General features: G+C 34.7%; 1 protein-coding gene across 12 annotated transcripts in view; it reads left to right on the top strand.

The window, feature by feature from the left end:
- RBMS3 (RNA binding motif single stranded interacting protein 3) overlaps positions 1-17,729 on the top strand; it is a 729,325-nt gene that overhangs the window by 1,136 nt on the left and 710,460 nt on the right. The window lies entirely within an intron of this gene.

Genomic DNA, 17,729 nt, shown 5'->3' on the forward strand with positions numbered 1-17,729 from the left:
TTAATCGCAGGGTATAGAATGAAAGAAGGGTGTGAGAAGGTATAGGGCTCCTACCAGAGTCTCTGAGAGTTTATTTTTATTTTTAATTTGCCTTGCCTATTTTATTTTATGTTGAGGATGATCAGCATGCTACAGACTGCTTTACAATAGATGTTCTTTACTTTTAGAAGATCTATTTTTCTGTGTAGCTGCCATGAGGAGGCCTGAGTCTTGAAAAGGAATGAAATGTAACTGATCATAATTGGACTTGAATTGGTTAAATACTTTAGGCTTTATGTGTGTGTGTCAAATGACCATTAGGGGCCCAGAGGCAAGCCCACGTAAGTAAGCAGTGGGCAGTACCTACCCTGAACTTTATCCTGCAGTTAAGACATGAAAGACTCTCAGGTGTGAAATCACTGCTCCGATTTGTCAATTAAATTGGACTTGATTAGGGGGAAAACATGTTAGCGGAGTGACCACCTCGAGTGTACGGGTGATATTATTTTGTATTGCATTAGCATTAGCCAGACTCCACCGTCTCCTTAATAAATAAATATGCCGAGAGTGAACAAGGCGTGCCTGAATGATCTATGCTGTCACCAGGACTCGGTGATGTGATTAGGGTTAGGTAATTCATGCTGTAGTTATCTGTCATTTATTTTGTCTCGTCCAGCAACGCCTATTTGTAAACCAGACTGGGAAGCAGACTTTCAGTATTATACAAAAGATTATTGCTTTGTTTTTTTCTTTTTCAATTGCTTTGTAATCCACCCTGCCCCTCCAAGGTCGACTCACACTGCTATTTGCCTTTGTGAGCATTTAGTTTGTGCTGCTGATGCTTAAATAGACTAGCCCTCCTGCTCGGTGCCTTAAGTTTTAACTCTTTGGGGGTGTTAGGTTGAGAATGCTGCCTGCCATTCCTCAAGGAAATGGCAGAGCAAGGACAAGTTAAAAGGGGAAAATTTACAGTCATTTCTCATGCCTCAACAAAACAAAAACAATAAACTCAAAGGTTGCATGAAAAATATCAGACATTCCATCCCTTTTACTCATTTGGCTACATTTTTCCAAGTGTTTCAAAAATTACACTTTGTTTCGGGTCCTTGTTTTCTACTATGGTATATATTCAGAAAAGAAACTTTAGATTGAAATGAATAACATAATTGTTTTTCTGTTTGAGACTTCTTTTAACCTATTACTAACAGGAAATAGTGAATGTTATGCACATTTTTTCAAAGACACAGGCTGCTGGATGAGCTATACTAGTAGAAAGTGTGTGCGAGAGAGAGAAAGATGGGGGGTAAAGAGAGAGAGTGGAGTAGTGAGGGAAAAGAGAGGAGCCTGAAAAATAGGGAGATTGTAGATATCTGTTTTGGAGTTCTATGTAGTTTAGTGTTGTATAGACAGGCGGCATCTGGATCTTGTTACTCTCAAGCTAGCCAACACCTTGAACTTCTGGAACATTTTTAAAGAAGTTAGATCCATTAGGCGTCCTATGTTGATATTTGGATAATCAGATCAGGATAGTAGGGAATATAAGATCAGCTATTTTGCCTATCATGGTAGTTCACATTGATTATTATGTTGTAAAATGTTGACAATGCTTTGAAGTTGTCCTGTATTGTTATGGTGGCTCTGAAATGACAGACATTAATAGCATTCCTGGAAGCTGAAGATGAGAAAATGTGCCCTGTTTTGAAACTTGCATAGAGAGGAAATGAGATGAAGAGTCAATGTGCAATCATATTTTAAAATGTGGGTACTGGGGATTTTCTGACAGGGTTAATACTATACAATGAAGTACCATCATGTTTCAGTGTAACAGGAAAACAACTGGGTTATTTCCACATCACTTTTTGTTCCTTCTACACTTATACCTCAAAATATAATTTATAATCATTTTAAATGAAGTACATGCTGCTTATATTTATTTGGTAAGCCTGGGTGGAATTCATAAAATCCACTCTTTGTAGCCTTGGCTTGGAGTTATAATCCAATTTGAAATTCATAGCTATTTAAAATGATGCTGATATGTCAATAATACTTATGTTTGATGAAAATAGAGTCTACGGTAGGTAAAAATCGTATTCTGGTGATAACATATCTTAAATTTTTCTCTAAATTGAGGTAGGTTTTCTTCCTGCCAATCCACAAGGGCTATTTACTATCATTAGTTTTTTGGGGAAAATCTTCATGGGATTTTAAAGGATTGAAATGTTTATTACTACATTATTTCAGAAAATGCACACATGCTGAACTCTCTTTTTCTACTTGTGTAATGATAAATACCTTTGCTATTTTTTAATGATAAAACAAAATGAAAATGAGATTTAAGAAATAAATGCAGATGTTTCCATTCCCTGGAATACATAGTAAAGTTTTAGAAGAACTTGCGACACTTCCCTGCCTTCTCTGCTCCTATTATTTTCCATTGCATTGGAATGAATCTCTCAACTTTGTTTCTTTAAAAGTAAATGTTTATGCTCCTTCAAATAATTTTTCAAATCCTTAAAATGTTATATATTAGAAAAATATACATGTAAGTTAAGATGAAAACCCAGTGGCTGACTCATATCTATAATGTGTAACAATGTTGTCATCCTGTGCTCCCTCTTTCACACCTCACGTCTTTAAAAAGTTGTCATTTGTCAATTTTCTTTTTGATGAATTTTTCTTTTTTTTTTTTTTTTTTTTTACCAAAAGAAGCAATTTCAAGGAGGAACATTACTTCGCTTAAGGAATAATGAAGAAATCTTAGTGATATGTTGTAATATTTAAATAAGAAACAACCGGATGAAAAAATAGTTTATCAAGGCAAATTTGCTGTTTGGAAGGGACACCCAGAATAATCAGCAAGTTTTAGAGAAAAAGGGCTCAAAAAATAGTTCATTAGCTTAATGACAAAATACAAAATGTTTGATTAGTTGTAATCCAACATTTTTTAAGTATTTTATCACCCTTTCCAAAAAAAAAACAACCTGTTGCTGTTGACTTATGAGATCCCAGCTGAATTTCATTCTGAATTTTTGAGGTACTTGCCGGGGTGGGGTGGGGGTGGGGGTGGTGGTGGGGAGTAGGTGGGGGTGGATGGGGGGTTCTTGAAAAAAAATTAGTCAAGCTAGGTAAGCTAAAAAGAAGAAAACCTGGTTACAGCCCGGTGAATTGATTTTTTTCCAGCCGAGAAATAGATATTTCTCTCACATATATTTGGAAAACTTTAGTCATCTTCATAAAACTTAAAAAGTTACCTAAGCACACACAGCAAGTTTCTCCTTTCTTCCTTTTCCACACCCTTACCAGTTCACTATGTTTCTACCAATCCAGTGCCCAGTTGCCAATGATGTTGCTCTCACATGAATTTACTGCATTCCCTTCTGGTTCCCCAGAAGGTCTTGAAGAAAGAGGTTCAGACTAGTGGACCCAAACAGAATTTCTTGGCTGGTGATACTCAGATTGTGTTCAGAGCCTGGTATGAAGAAGGGGCCAGGTGTAAGAAGTAGTTAATCAACTGCACGTTGATTTCAGGCTGAATATTCAACCATCTGCAGCCACCCGTCTCTAAAAGTCTAGCTGAAGCACAATTGATTGTGCCATAGAATGAGCAAACGCTTGAAAACACAAGTAGGTGAAGGAAGAGAGGCTTCCACGGAGCAAAGGATATTCTTAAAGATGTGAATGTACAGATCCTTCAAAAGCAAAACAAAACAACCCTGTAACACCCTCCTTACACATGAAAATGTAGAAAATCTTGCAGAGGGAGGGAATGAGTTTAGAATTTCCTTAGTACTTCCTGCCTCAGATTTGCATTGATATCCAGTTGGTAACTTGCCAGTTGTTTTAAAACAGCCTTGAAAACTCCAAAGTTCTGTTTTCCTTTGAAAGCCTGAAACATACAAAACTAGTTTTCTAAAATCTTCCAGCGATAGAATTTTTAGGTACAACTCCAAATATTTTCTTTCGCTTCGGGGGGTAATATAATAGCATGAAACTATGATAGCATGAAACTATGATAAATCCTGTTTGTCTCACTTTAGACTGTATAGAATTTTTAATTGGTTTCAAATAAGAGGAAAATAGAAGGAAGGGGCCATCCTTGTTTCTTAGTTTTGTTTTTTTTTCTTAACTCCCCCAAGCCTTCATTATCAGTGGGATTGAACACAATCCCAGTGCATGTTTTGCTATTTTTTTTCCATGATATAGACATTGTTTTTGCAACACTGAGTTTGGTGCCTACTTAAAAGGAGTAGAAACGTAAAAAGTTCATGGTATTTTCTTTTCTCCAGAATGGATTCAAACTTAAGGAAAATATCATGTATATTTAACAGCATCTTTCTAAAGCATTTTCCTTTCACTTTCTTTCAATTTGGAAAAAAAATAGCACAAAATTATAGCACAAAATTATTTCCATGAAGTAATAAAATGTATCTGAGGGCTGGGGGTAGGGATAATTTGCAGGGAGGGACACAATATAGAAGGGAGGATGCAAGTTCATTCTAGGTCTTTCTGGCTTCAGGAATTCTGGAAAGCTTCATTTTTGCACTAGTATGATTTTACACAACCTTTTTGACATTATCAGTCTTTTGGCAGAGAGAGTTCAGTCACAATTATGCCCATGTCAAATTCTAAAATCAAACCAAAACAACAAAAAAAGTATTTTCTTTTAAAATAAAACTTTTTTAATGTCAAACATTTTATTCAGAGTAAATGGTTGATGTTTATTCAAAATTGGCTTCAAGTACTACATTGAAATTGTTTTGTAACAGTCTCATAAGCCACAGCTGTATGTGATTAAATAGTGTAATATCAAAAGCATGTGAGAATAGACGTTTTTATGCTATAGCTATTGCACAGCAAGAGTGCAGATGGAACTGAAGGGAGACCAAAAGCGAAAATGTATTCATGTGGTGTAATACGTGTGTTGAGGATATGTGTTGCTATTTTTTGCAGTAGTGGGAAAATGTTGAACTATTTTGGATGTGCTTAGAAAATATCCTCTCGGAAAACGGAAACAGACATATAATACCATTTTTAAAATGTGGAGTGGATCATGCCATTTAATTAGAAAACACATAGGTGCTGAATAGATCTGAAACCAATTCAAGTGGAAGAATGAAAATTATTCCCATTGAGTACACATTCAAAAAGCAAAAGTGACTTTCTCATTTCTGTTTTGAAATTATAAATTTTTTTTTACTACTTTAATTTATGGAACTATTGTAAGAAAACCTTCATCCCATTGATACCTAAAGAAAAGTATTAGGCAATAAGAATCAGCAACTTACAGATGGCAAAATAGGTGGCAGTATATTGCTTTTTAAAGATATTTGGAAATATGATGCTCTTCAGTGTTGTATAAATATTGCTCTTTTCTTACCAGTGTTAAAAATTACAAAGATACACAAGGACATACAACTTTTGCTTCCATTTCTGTAACAGAGATGTTATCGTAAAGAGGTGTCTAGTTTTAATGAGGTGATTTAATACAGTGTTTTTGAAATAATATTTGTTAATAAAAATTAATAACCTCTAGCTTCCTAGAGATAATAAATCTATAGGATTAATCATACTAATCATCACTACCATTCATATGTGATTGTTTTCAGGGCCTTGAGAAAGCTTATAGAATTGGCTATTTTTAGATTTCAGATTTTAGACAGAAGTAATTTTAAAAAGAAAAAGAGAGTGGCAGACTGAGATGAGTTAAATTTTGCTTGGTTTTGTTTTTATTTTTTTTTATTTTAAGTTGATATTGGCAGATAATCTGGTCTTATTAAAAATGTTTTGTTTTATCCATGTAGGTTTATTACTCAGGGAGTATGTATTATGTGGAATCACGAATAAAATTTTAATAATTCAAAACCAATTCCTAATAAATATCAAATTTCAAAAGTAAGGATAATAAAAGAAAGATAATAGATCCTATCATTTTGTGGGGGAATTCTCTGATTTGTATGTCAATGCATTGGTTTCTAGGTTGGGTTCCTTCACTAGGATCCCTTCCATTGTGAGATAGCTGAGCCTGCTTTAGTATCTTAGTGGTATCTTCAGGTGACCTCGGTTTTGTGTCATTCATGAGTTTTTCTTTTGTTCCCAGATGCTTTCCACAGGGCAGATCAAATGCTGCTTTACTGGCTCTCTGGTGATTTGAAAAATTTAACTGTCTTCATCCTTTCACACATCTAAATCCAGTGCACTGAGAGAAACACGTCCATCACTTGGGAGTGGGTGGATAGAAGTTCCCAGGAGTGGAACAAAATGACAGCCATTCTTTAATCATGACCTTTTCCAGCTTTATTGTGGTGGTTACAATTTTTCTTCTGAGTGGGTAAAATTAAGGTGTATCCAAAAACTTAATTGTGATAGTATGATGCTTTACTTTTCCTCATTTAACTTCCTCTCTACAGGTGGTGCAGAGCTAAATGGTTATGCATGTTTGGCTAAACCAGTTGAGTTAATGAAGGAGACTAGAATTGCCACATTAAAATACTGACAACTTTAGTTTCATGAATGATTATAAGGAGTCAGTGTAACTATAACAATTAATGAAATATTATTTCGACTGAATCCAAAACCTACAAATCCGCAAAACCTACAATCTCTGAATCTCAGAATAGTAGCCTAGAAAACGTGGGAACTGAATACTGTGGTTACCTCAGCTATACTGTAGTATTGTAGGAGGGAAATAACTCCCCAAGGGCATATAAACAAGAACATTATCTTTTCTACTTTTTCTTTTGAGATTCCCTTCTTGTTTTTCAAAAAGCCCCTGTTAGCTGAATTAATGAAAGCAAATGACATATGCTATTTTAAATTATTATTTAAGCTTTGAAAAATCATACATTATTTTCATATAACTTAGTCCATAAGTTCCTATTATGCTTGCTTCTCTGAGTATATTTGGAGTATAAAACAAGGAAGATAATCCTTTGGGAAAGTTGGTTTCTGTTCATATCAGTCTGTGTGTTCATTTATTCATTTGTGAAATGGGTGAAATAACCCTGACCTCAACAATATATTATAGTGGCCTCTGCTATGGAAGGTATGAAGTTACTGAACTGTTAAGAGAAGGGTGGTCCATACATAAGTAGCAATGTTATCATTTCTGAAGCCCAACTGCATATTTTTATTTACTTTATTACAGACTCAGCTCTGAGGTGGGTAGCCTGTCTTTAACACAGAAAAGAGTTTAGGAACTCCTCAAATGTGTAAAGGCCATTTCTATTTGCTGAAGCATAGCTCTTCACCACTTAATCATTGAAAATTATGTTGTAGAATATTTAGTGATGGGGGAATGTTTATAATACATCAAATGGTTAAAACAGTTAACTATGTTCCTAATATTATAAAAGCATAAAGAATCCAAATATAGACATATAAAAAGGCTTAAAGAAAATATATCAAATTCTCAAGGAAAATAAAAAGTAAATGGAACCCGGAATTTTGTTTCATGAATGATAAATACAAAAGTGAGACTCGACTACATGCCTTATTAGTCAAGGGAACCCTAATAGTGCCCTTTCCTGTTGTGTGGAAAGTAAGGTATAATAGGAGAAAAGTAAATCTAACAATATTTTAAGTTTTAGGAGCTGACATTTAAATTTGTTTTAGACTTAACTTTCCTATCATTATATTGTGAGGTTAAGAAATTGGCATATATTACATTCAATATGCTAGATGCAAATGATCTTCTGGTCATCCCACTCTTAGCTGATAATTTTCAAGCTGAATATAGATCATGCATAGAATTTAATATGGATTTTTTTAGAGACAGCTTATTGTTTTTTAATCCTGTGTACTACTACTTAGTCATTTTCCCTGACTGATGACAATTTAATGAAAAGTGAAATAAAAAACAATACTAACTATCTGGTTTTCTGGAACTGGTTAAAATATATTGAAAGTTTTTCTTATGTATGTGAGTCATATTTGAGGCTATTGTCGATGTCTGTAAATTCTCATGTTGCTTCTTTTAACACTTGTCAATCATATAAATGGTATTCTGACACCCAATATATAACTTAAAATTAAATAACTTAGAATTCAAGCAAATATATTTTTTAACTAGTTTTGAGTAGGTGAAGTATTTGAAGTATTTAAGAGACTTGGAATGATTTTGGTGACATTATTTGCTAATAATTAATCTCATCTCCATCTTTATGTAAAATTTCAGATTGTTTTCCGGGATACTCAACAGATAAATATGTGACAGACCTATGGCCTTTAATTTCTTCTTGAAAGATGAGAAAACAACATTTCATTTTCTTTGACTTGGTGGGAACTACCCTTGGAGGGTGGTGACAGTTCATGGATTAACCCTGGTATCCTGTCCATTACCAATGTACACCAATTCTGACTGCATCTTTAGAAATAAGAATATTGCATTTTTAGTCTAAGGTAGGTAGGGAATCCTGGAAAGGATAAAATTCTGATGTCCTTTTCTCAATGTATTTCAAAAAAATTAACCACTGCTTTTAAACTTTATTATTTACCTGTTTAGGACAATTTGGCTTCATGTTAGCAATGGAAGTTTCTCTTTCTGACTCGTGTTTAACTTTGTTGTTGAGCTGGAAAAACACAAGAAAAGGCCAGTGGGAATAGATGAAAGAACATGCAGGAATTTCTCTTCAAGTTTTGCTATTTCCTGTAACAATAGACGCTTTTTGAGGCCTCCATTCCACATCCAAAGACACATATTAAAGTGCACTAACATTCAACACCAAATTTAATTATTTCACAATAATATGTTGAAAAAGCTTTTATAATTTTGCTCCTGAAACTCTGTGTCCAAGTAAATTTAACTGATATGTATCTGTGAATTTGGAGACATCTTGCATACATGAATATTCTTGCGAAGTGAAAAAAACCTAATCTACAAATCTTTTTCAGGTACAAAGAGATTATTAGAAGACTAAGTGGAACAATGAATAAAGTTGACAATGTATTATGTTTTTTAGATATGCATATAAATGTTAATTGATTTGGGTTTTGCAGTTTTTCTTTTCAGAGTTTGGAGTTAATGCATTTGTTTCCTTGCACCAGTGTTTTTGTAGGTCTTTAAGATGGTCAGAGCATCTAAAAAGCTGGCCATATCTTTCACTATTGTGGCCTTTTGGCACTCAAAATATCTCTGTATTTTAGTAATCCCAAATTTCCGGGGAGGGACATGTGGTAGAACAGCACAGTGTATTGGAAAATGTCATTAACATTCTTTGGCTAAAATATTTCAAAAGCAGACACATTGGATTGACCTTTGGCACTGAGAGCAACTGGGAGTTCCAGATCTGGGTGCCAGGTTCACAGAATTTTTTATTGCGTAATTGGTGAAATTGTTTACTAGAGACAGAGCTTAAATGTAACAGGTGTTTCCCTAGGGCACCCTCTTAGGGGAGTAGGCAAGAGGCAAATCAATGGCACAATACTTATTCTATGGCATAATTTTTCTCAATTCTTCTGTCTCAAAATAGGGTCATAGGTTTTTTATATGTATTAAAACTGACATTTCTTCCTTTTCCCCAGTTCCCACGGTTATTTACCTAGGATAATAACATCTCTTGGTGTCTAGAAGTCTCTCTCAGCCCTAGAGAATCTACGTGCCTTTTAAAGAACACATGTCTCTACAGGTATGCACACTGCAGCTAGACCCACTATCACTCTCACAAGTGGTTGGGCAACCTGAAGATACTGCTACTCCAGCCATAAGCCAAGTGTGATGGTTTCCTTCATTTTCATTCTTATCCCAGTGTTACAGGAAAATCAAGATCCCAAGCCTAGACATAGCCATCTTCTCCAATCTTATTCAGGAAATAATTTTTTCTCTCTGTAGCCCCATATATATCCTCAGACCTGAAAATTCACACCATCCCCCAATGCTGGAGGGCGAATTCTCTCATAATCACCCTATGTTTTGATTCTCTATCTAATTACTCAATTTTTCTTCCCAGCCCTCTAGACAGATCTCACTGAATTTCATCAGCAGATGCAATGAATCAGCTTTGATTGTCTCTCTTACACATAAAACAACAACACACACGCACACATACATTCCTGAAAACCTTAACGATTATTTTAATGGTTCAGATTTTCTCTGAGGCTTTACAACCACAGAGAAATATGGAGGTGCAAAGTGGTCCTAAGAAGACACATTCCTGTTCTTTCCAGTTATAATTTATTTAATTTTATTTTACTTTGCTGCTAGTTGGTAGCACAAAGGGGTGAGTCTTACCAAAATAGAAATAACTACTATTTTTTTACTTTCTTTCACAAATATTGTGGTACCTTCTCATGATCTGAGATACATTGACAGTATATTACGCAAGTTAGCTATCTACTCTCTTTTTTATGTCATTCTTGATAGCATCTTTTGGAAATCTTATTGATTAATTCTAATTCATCCCAAATAATTTCATAATAGTCGTTTAAACTGTGAAGAGTCTGATGAACCTCAAAGCTTTTAGTGATGAGGCTGTCAATAGCAGCCTAGTAAAAAAAGAAAAAAAGATGACAGTTCTACAACCTCAACCGGTTATTTATAAGAAACAGGAAGAAAGATAAAATAAAGAGAAGAAAGAGAAAATGAACTAAAGAGAAAGATTAAGGGTATCAGGGCTCAATGTACTTTTGAACATTTCTGGAATTTGACAACTTGTTTTCCTTTCCAAAGGCAATAGATAAGAGCTGTTTAGCAAGGAAAAGGTCATTTACAAACAGAAGAAACATGTTTGGGGAAAATACGTCAATGTAAATTCATAATTTGATGTGGAGGGGTCCTGTAGTTGAGACTTTTGGTCTCTTAGGAAGAAAATTAATGGTTATGTAGACAATTAGTGCTTTATTTTGTTTTTGCACTTGTTGCAGCATTCAGTAATAGCCAGCATTTGCTTTTGTTGTTTTGACTTACTCATCACTAGTTCTCAAGGGAGAACCTGTATAAAAGCCTTCTTGATGCTTTTGATTGGAAAGAGGGATGTTTTTCAGAAAGAGTCATTGGAATCAAGTTTTAAAGTGTATTTTTGATTTTCTGTATCTAACATATTCATATACGATCTGTATGTGCTCACAAATATAACCAGGAGCAATGTTGTTGTTGTTCTGTGTGGAAAGAATCTCATTCTGAGAAGGAAAAAGCAACATTAGTTGTGAACCCAGCAAAGCCGTATTGCCATGAGAACCACACAGTACCAACTGCTTATTAAACAAGAGTGAAGTTTGAGGCCACTAATGTGCCTGAGGACCCAAGGAGCAGGTCAGTTGAGGGTATGGGTGCAGTCATGCTTACTTACTCTGGGCTAACATAAGCCTTTGTTAGAGGGGAGGAGCCTGGTAAAAAGAGTGTCTAGATTTCAACATGGCCCATAAAAGGCTAGCTGCTATTGTTATTATTCGTGGTCCATCTTTTCTGCCAAATTCATTGTATGCATTTCTCCATCCTTGTTTTATTTAGGATGGCTGTCTGATGCAACCTTGCTTTAACATTGTGTCTTCTCCATCTCCCTGTCTTTCCCAGATTGTCCTTCCTAGGGCTAATATTTTTTTTTTCTTTGTTGTAGCTTCTACTCCTGTAGCCCTTTCTTGCTCGCCCTTTCTTCTTCTATTCTCAAGTTTTCTGCTATGGATTTGCCTTCTTTGTCTCTCTGCCCTCTGATCCTTAAATTCTGCTTCCTTCTTTTTGTTCTCTCAGCTTTCAGTCTTTTCTTTTTTTTTTTAATTATTGCTTTTTATATGTTTCTCTCTTTTTTTTACAAGGTACAGTGGGATTGGGTTTTAATTTATCTTTTTTTGCTTAGTTGTAAATTTATTTTTGGCTTTTCAAACATAACTGTACTCTTCCAGATCATATTTGTGTCAGAGTTAGTCTGTAAACAGTCTGAGAACTGGGACCACAGTTTTGATCTCTGAATGCCCTGCAATGTATAGTATGGTGTATGATGCAGATTAAGGTCATAAGAAAAGGTTTTCAGAAGGTATTAGTCTATCTTGTTTTGTGTGTCTTGTACATTGGTCCATTGCTGAAGGCAGTGCTTTTTTGAACCAGAGTTGCTTAATGTCATCTTCACCTCTGTGATGCTTTATGTCAAAAGACATCTTTTTTACATGTCCACATGGATACAATCTCTTGGGGTCCTATCTTTTTCACATTAAGCACATGGGTCACTTGGCTAGTACCCTGAGGCTGTTGGCTTGAGTTGGGTTACATTCCTAACTAATGGGAAAAACCATAAAACACAAGATGAGTTAAGTCAGAAACTAATAGAAAAAAAGAAAAAAAAAACATAGTACTGCATTATAAGTTGCTGGCAAGAAAGTCAATACACGTGCCAACTCAGTGAGGGGCAGAAGTGGATTTCAAAGACAAACTAAGTAGCTAGGATTTGGAACTGGGGGATGAAAGTAAGCAAATATGTCAGGATTAAATGGTAGTGGTGGTGGTCTGGAGAAGACTGGAGAGGCAATTCCTCAGCAATTGCCAAGAATATCAGCCCTTATATGTGGCTTCCTTTTATGGGTTGGCAGAAAGTTGGACATATCAGGAAACTAACTTAGCTTGAAGAACTAGGAGATGGTCTGAGTTTTCGGTCCATCTTTTTGTCAATTTTGTTTATTCAAAATCCAGGGTCTTGACTACAATAGTTCTTATAATAATATTGAACTGTTAACCAATTTTGGACTATAGTCCAGGAGTAACCAGCCATGCCATATACCTATCCAAAGCAATACCCAGATGGGTTTTTTAACTCAGAATTTTGAAAAGACTTCAAGTATCAGGTAAAAATGACAAAATACCCATTTTAGAAAGAAAACAAAACACAATTTCCCTGTACAATTACCTACGTGGGTATAAAGACATATCTAAACTAATGCAAGATAACGTTAGATGAAATTCTGATGTAAACTTCAAAGCTTTTCTCACTAAGGAATATCTGAAAACAATAACCCTGTTGTGGCTAAGAGTACAAACTGTGATTTTGGTTTGGACTTCTCTTGGTTTTTCCAAGTTGTGCTGAATCTCCTATGTTTGTTCTGCAGTGTTCTCCTCTGTCATACTTTTTTTTATTGCATTGAGGTCCTTATTCCCAATTGCAGAAAATTATATATATATATATATATATACATATATATCTATATATATACATATATATATACACACACATATATATATACATATATATATACACACACATATATATATATACACATATATATATGTTTCATGAAATTTTAGGGAATTTTTTAATTTCAAAGTAATGCATATTTTGCATATCTAGGGAAATAATTCAAGATACAGCGGGAAAATGTTAATAATCTCCCTCAATACACTACACAGGTCTTCAAGAGCTCTCTGAAATAACTAATATTAATAGTAAGGTGTGTGTCTTTTACAGAATTCTATATGCTCTTGCAAATAGCAATCTGACATATGTTATATGAGATCAAATTGAACAGGTTAACTACTTTTTCAATGACAAATGTAATTTAGATATTCTTACCAAGTTTTTAGATATTTCTGGTTTTTTATTGTCATATTAATTGTTCCTACTTTATTTGTACCACGTTTTATGCAAGTGTTGCCCATAGGTGGACATGCATTTTATTGCCATCATTTTGCCAATATGAATAATTCTAAAATATATATTCAGGGTACTTATATAAATACTAAAAATTAAATCTTTCATCTTCTAATTAAGTTTGCTTCCTTTAAAACACTGAAAATTGCCATGATGAGTTTCGTATTACACAAGGATTAACATCTCTCTTTGGCCCAAAAATTCTGTGCCCTGCAAGGTTGTCCTGCCCCTCTGTGTTTTGATGACAGGATTGTACTCTTCCTTTGGTAAGAAGATGGACTTCCTGATGGAAGTACAAGCTGAAAGGGAACCCTCACATTTGGCAGAAACAGGAATATCTTCCTTCCTTTGTGACACTATCACAGATCCCAACAAGCGCTTGGGGTCAGCAATTCTAGGATCTCATTACTTGGGGGCTGCTCTTTTGTGAAAGGTCAGCTTCCTTTGTCTGCCACCTTATATACAAAGTAAAAAGGGCAGCAGCAGTCAAGGACAATGTTAAGCAGCCCAACTCTTCCTAATAAATTTCAAAGCCCACTGAAATATTTTTGTGCTAGAACACATATTTTTTTCCAAAGGCTTTGGAAATCAGAATTTTTATTTTTACATTATTATCTTGGGAATGTGTACAACTGTATTTCTTAACAACCCTCATCTGTTGAACTTGTTTGGCGCTGCTTAATCAGTGTCAAGTAATGTCATGGTTTATCAATTGAGCTGGAAAAAGTGACTCTGTAAATCTAATGGACCTAGGTTAAATCTATTGTTATTTCCTTTTTCTAGCCTGTACTTGATATGTTTCTCACTTTGAATTCAAATGTTAAGATCAGAGCATGACAATAAAAAGAATAATACAAAAGTTAACCTATTTAATATGTGATGCTGGGATGACACAGAACTATTTGCTACCTAAAATATGTCTAGAAGATGGGAGATCATAAAGTCTCAACAGTTTCTTCTCCTAGAAGAAAAGTTAGACCAAGAATGTGTATTTCTGATAGTAGTTAATCCTCTTTACATAGTCATATTTCACAGAACTTAATCACATCTTTCCAAGTTTGATGGCCAAATCTCACATGCTTTGGAAACTCAGGGAGTTTTTCCTTCCCAAGGACCTGAAAAGATGACCTTTTTTTTTTTAAACACTTTAGTCAAATTAGCATTTTTTTTTAACTGCTGGAAGACTCACCATTTTTTAACCCACACTTAAAAATCATTAATATATATTATACTTAATATACATTTAGTGAGAGCAGAAACATTTTAACAAAGTCTGGAAAAGGAATTTAGTAATCAGAAACGAAAACAGTGTGGTTAGGTGAAAGGACTCTGAGTGTGCTAGTAGAGTAATAGTTGTGGGAGGTCCAATTTTTGATTCTACAACTTGCTTTAATACGATTTCCCCAGAGTTTCTTTACTTTTTAATATTTCAGCTTCTTGTCACTTCTTCCCATTACAAGAATATTTAGTTATTTGGTAAAAATGTCTTGAGGATCAATATTAGACTAATAGTAATGTGTTTCAGTGTTCGGTGAAGAATGCCAATATATTAACATATTATGAAGGTGATAAAATATAAATAAGAACCATTAACTCAAAGAGATTGTTATTAGTGATAATGGTAAGGAGAGGGCAATTGAAAAGCTTGGAATTGACTTGATACGTGAATATAATGGAGCACAAATCCTTAAGATGGCTCCGATCAATGCTATTCATTGAAACATTTCTTTGCACTTCCATTATGCTTCTCCACATCCATCTCTGCAATCAGCTGGATTGAAATCATATAGAGATTTGCTCTCAGTATTTCTTATACTTCTTACATGAATTTTCTTTATTGTTATTTTGTTTTGGAAAGGAGTGCAAGTCTGTCTCAGCACTCTATTCAAAACTCACCATATAGTCTGAGATGAATATATTGGAAAGTTGTCTGGTTCTTACATTGCTATATTTCACAATACTTGTACTTTCCTCATTTAAGGTTCCAGGATACCTTTTGTCCCCTAGAGTAAATAAATTAGAGGGGAGAAAAGGTGTCATTTTCTTGCAGCCAGCTTACAGAGTGCCAGCCCTTGCCTCCCTAGAGTGAAATCTCATGTTTAAAAATGCTGTGAGTGAGGCCAGCACTGGCTTTGGGTGTGGTATTGGGTTTTAACTAGATAATTCTTCAGACTATTCACTGGGAAATGAAGGAATGGAGTTTTGTTTTAGTTTTTTTCAGCTTAGCATTGAGCTTTCAAATATCTTCAAACTTGCTCACATTTAGCATTGCTAAACTTTAATTTTACCCTTTTGTTAATCTTCCTCCAATTACCATGATTGCCTTTACCAAGCTCTTCATGCTCAAAACCCAAGGGCAATCTCAAAGGTCTTCAAGCTATGTGATCCCCACCCCCTGCATGTGGTAGGTGTTTAATAAGTGTCAATTGACTGAATGATTGGTCTACATGAAAGTGGCTGTTCCACATCCTGTACTCGAATAATACTCACTGAGCAATATATTTTGGGCACTTAACCATTTTTGCCTTCCTTTTGGTATATCCTATTAGCTCTCAGAATGGAGAATCCTCCACTTCATCTTTCTTCTGCCCTCAGATCTTACAACAGTGCTAGTCAGTATCTATTGAATAAAGAGTGTATGGTTTAATTCCCTACCCTAGATGTCCTTTAATTGATTTTATAATCTTCAGGAAACTTAATAAAACCTCTTTGATACTTACCTTTGCTTCCCTTATAGTTTGCTTTCTTCCTTTTTAATAATTCAAAATAATGTTTCACTTTCAATTATAAAGATACTAAAGCTAAGACAAAAATATTAAGGTAAAATTCTCCTCAAGGTGTTTGGCATTTTTTTTTTCCGGGAAATATTTGGTTTCTTTTTGCTTACTCACATGTTTACTCTCAATATAAGACGTTTATCTCAATACATCTACCTTCTCCCACCCTTTTATGTACGTTTGGTCTCATGACGTTTTGTGAAAAAGGGAAATAAGATTTTTCAGTGTTTGTGCAATGTTCAATTTTAAGATCTTCTAGTCCAGTACTGTATCTACTCATTATGTATCCTATAGTTACTAATATTTGAGTTTGGTACTTGGAATATTAGAATGTGAAATAAAATGCTGTATCAATCAATACATGTTTCTGGAGCTCTCCCTATTGCCACCACTGCTTGGGGGTGGTTTGGACAAGACAGGAGTTATAACACGATTCTTGCCCCTCAGAAGTTGATAATTTATTTGAGAAAACAGGGAGGACTCATGAACAAAGGAGGGTAATCAAATGCTAAGTCATGCGACATTGACTTAAATTGAGGAGAAAGGGCAAGGACTGTTGGAGCAAGTAGACCCTTAAAGGGAGAAGACAGTCTTGGGCCAGGTTTGAGGTGGGCATATAGTTGGGCATTTGGTATATTGCTTAAGTAACAGCAGGAAGGGAAAGTATTCTTGCTAGAATAAAAGTAGAAACATAATACAGGCACGAGATTGGAATTGAGAAGGGACAATATAATGACAAAACAGACTTAGATGAAACAATGCATCAGAGAGGCACAAGGTTAGAAAGAGCACAGCAATGACAGAAAGGCTTTAAGAGGGCAGATGAGAAAAAGTTAATAGTGGTTTAATTTTGGGGTAGGGAGTGGTTTTGTAAGTTTCATTTTTAAGGCATAACCATGAATGAAAACAATGATAGATTTTTAATTCTTTATTGTTTTAATAAAATGCCTACATTTTGACTAAAATAATATGATTGGCCCTCCACATCTGTGGGCTCCACCAAGCGTGATTTCTACCAACTGCGGGTTCCATCAAGTGGGGGTAGAAATTATTTGAAAAAAAATTAAAAATAACAAAGCAATAGTAAAAATAATACAAATAAAAATATAGTATAGCAACTATTTATATAGCATTTACACTGTTTTAGGTATTATAAGTAACCTAGAGATAATTTAAATTATATGGGAGGATATGCATAAGTTATATACAAACACTACACCATGATATATAAGGAATCAAAGCATCTGCAAATTTTAGTATGGGGGTGGGGGTTCCTGGAATCAATCCCCCACAGATAATGAGGGACAACTGTACTTACAAATCTTCATATAGCAGAAAACCTACTACAATGAAACATAAAAAGCTAACAAATAGTCTTATAAAAGAAGGCCTGCAGTATATATGACAA

This window comes from Homo sapiens, chromosome 3, assembly GCF_000001405.40.
Source record: "Homo sapiens chromosome 3, GRCh38.p14 Primary Assembly".
In the NCBI taxonomy this organism is placed as follows: Eukaryota; Metazoa; Chordata; class Mammalia; order Primates; family Hominidae; genus Homo; species Homo sapiens.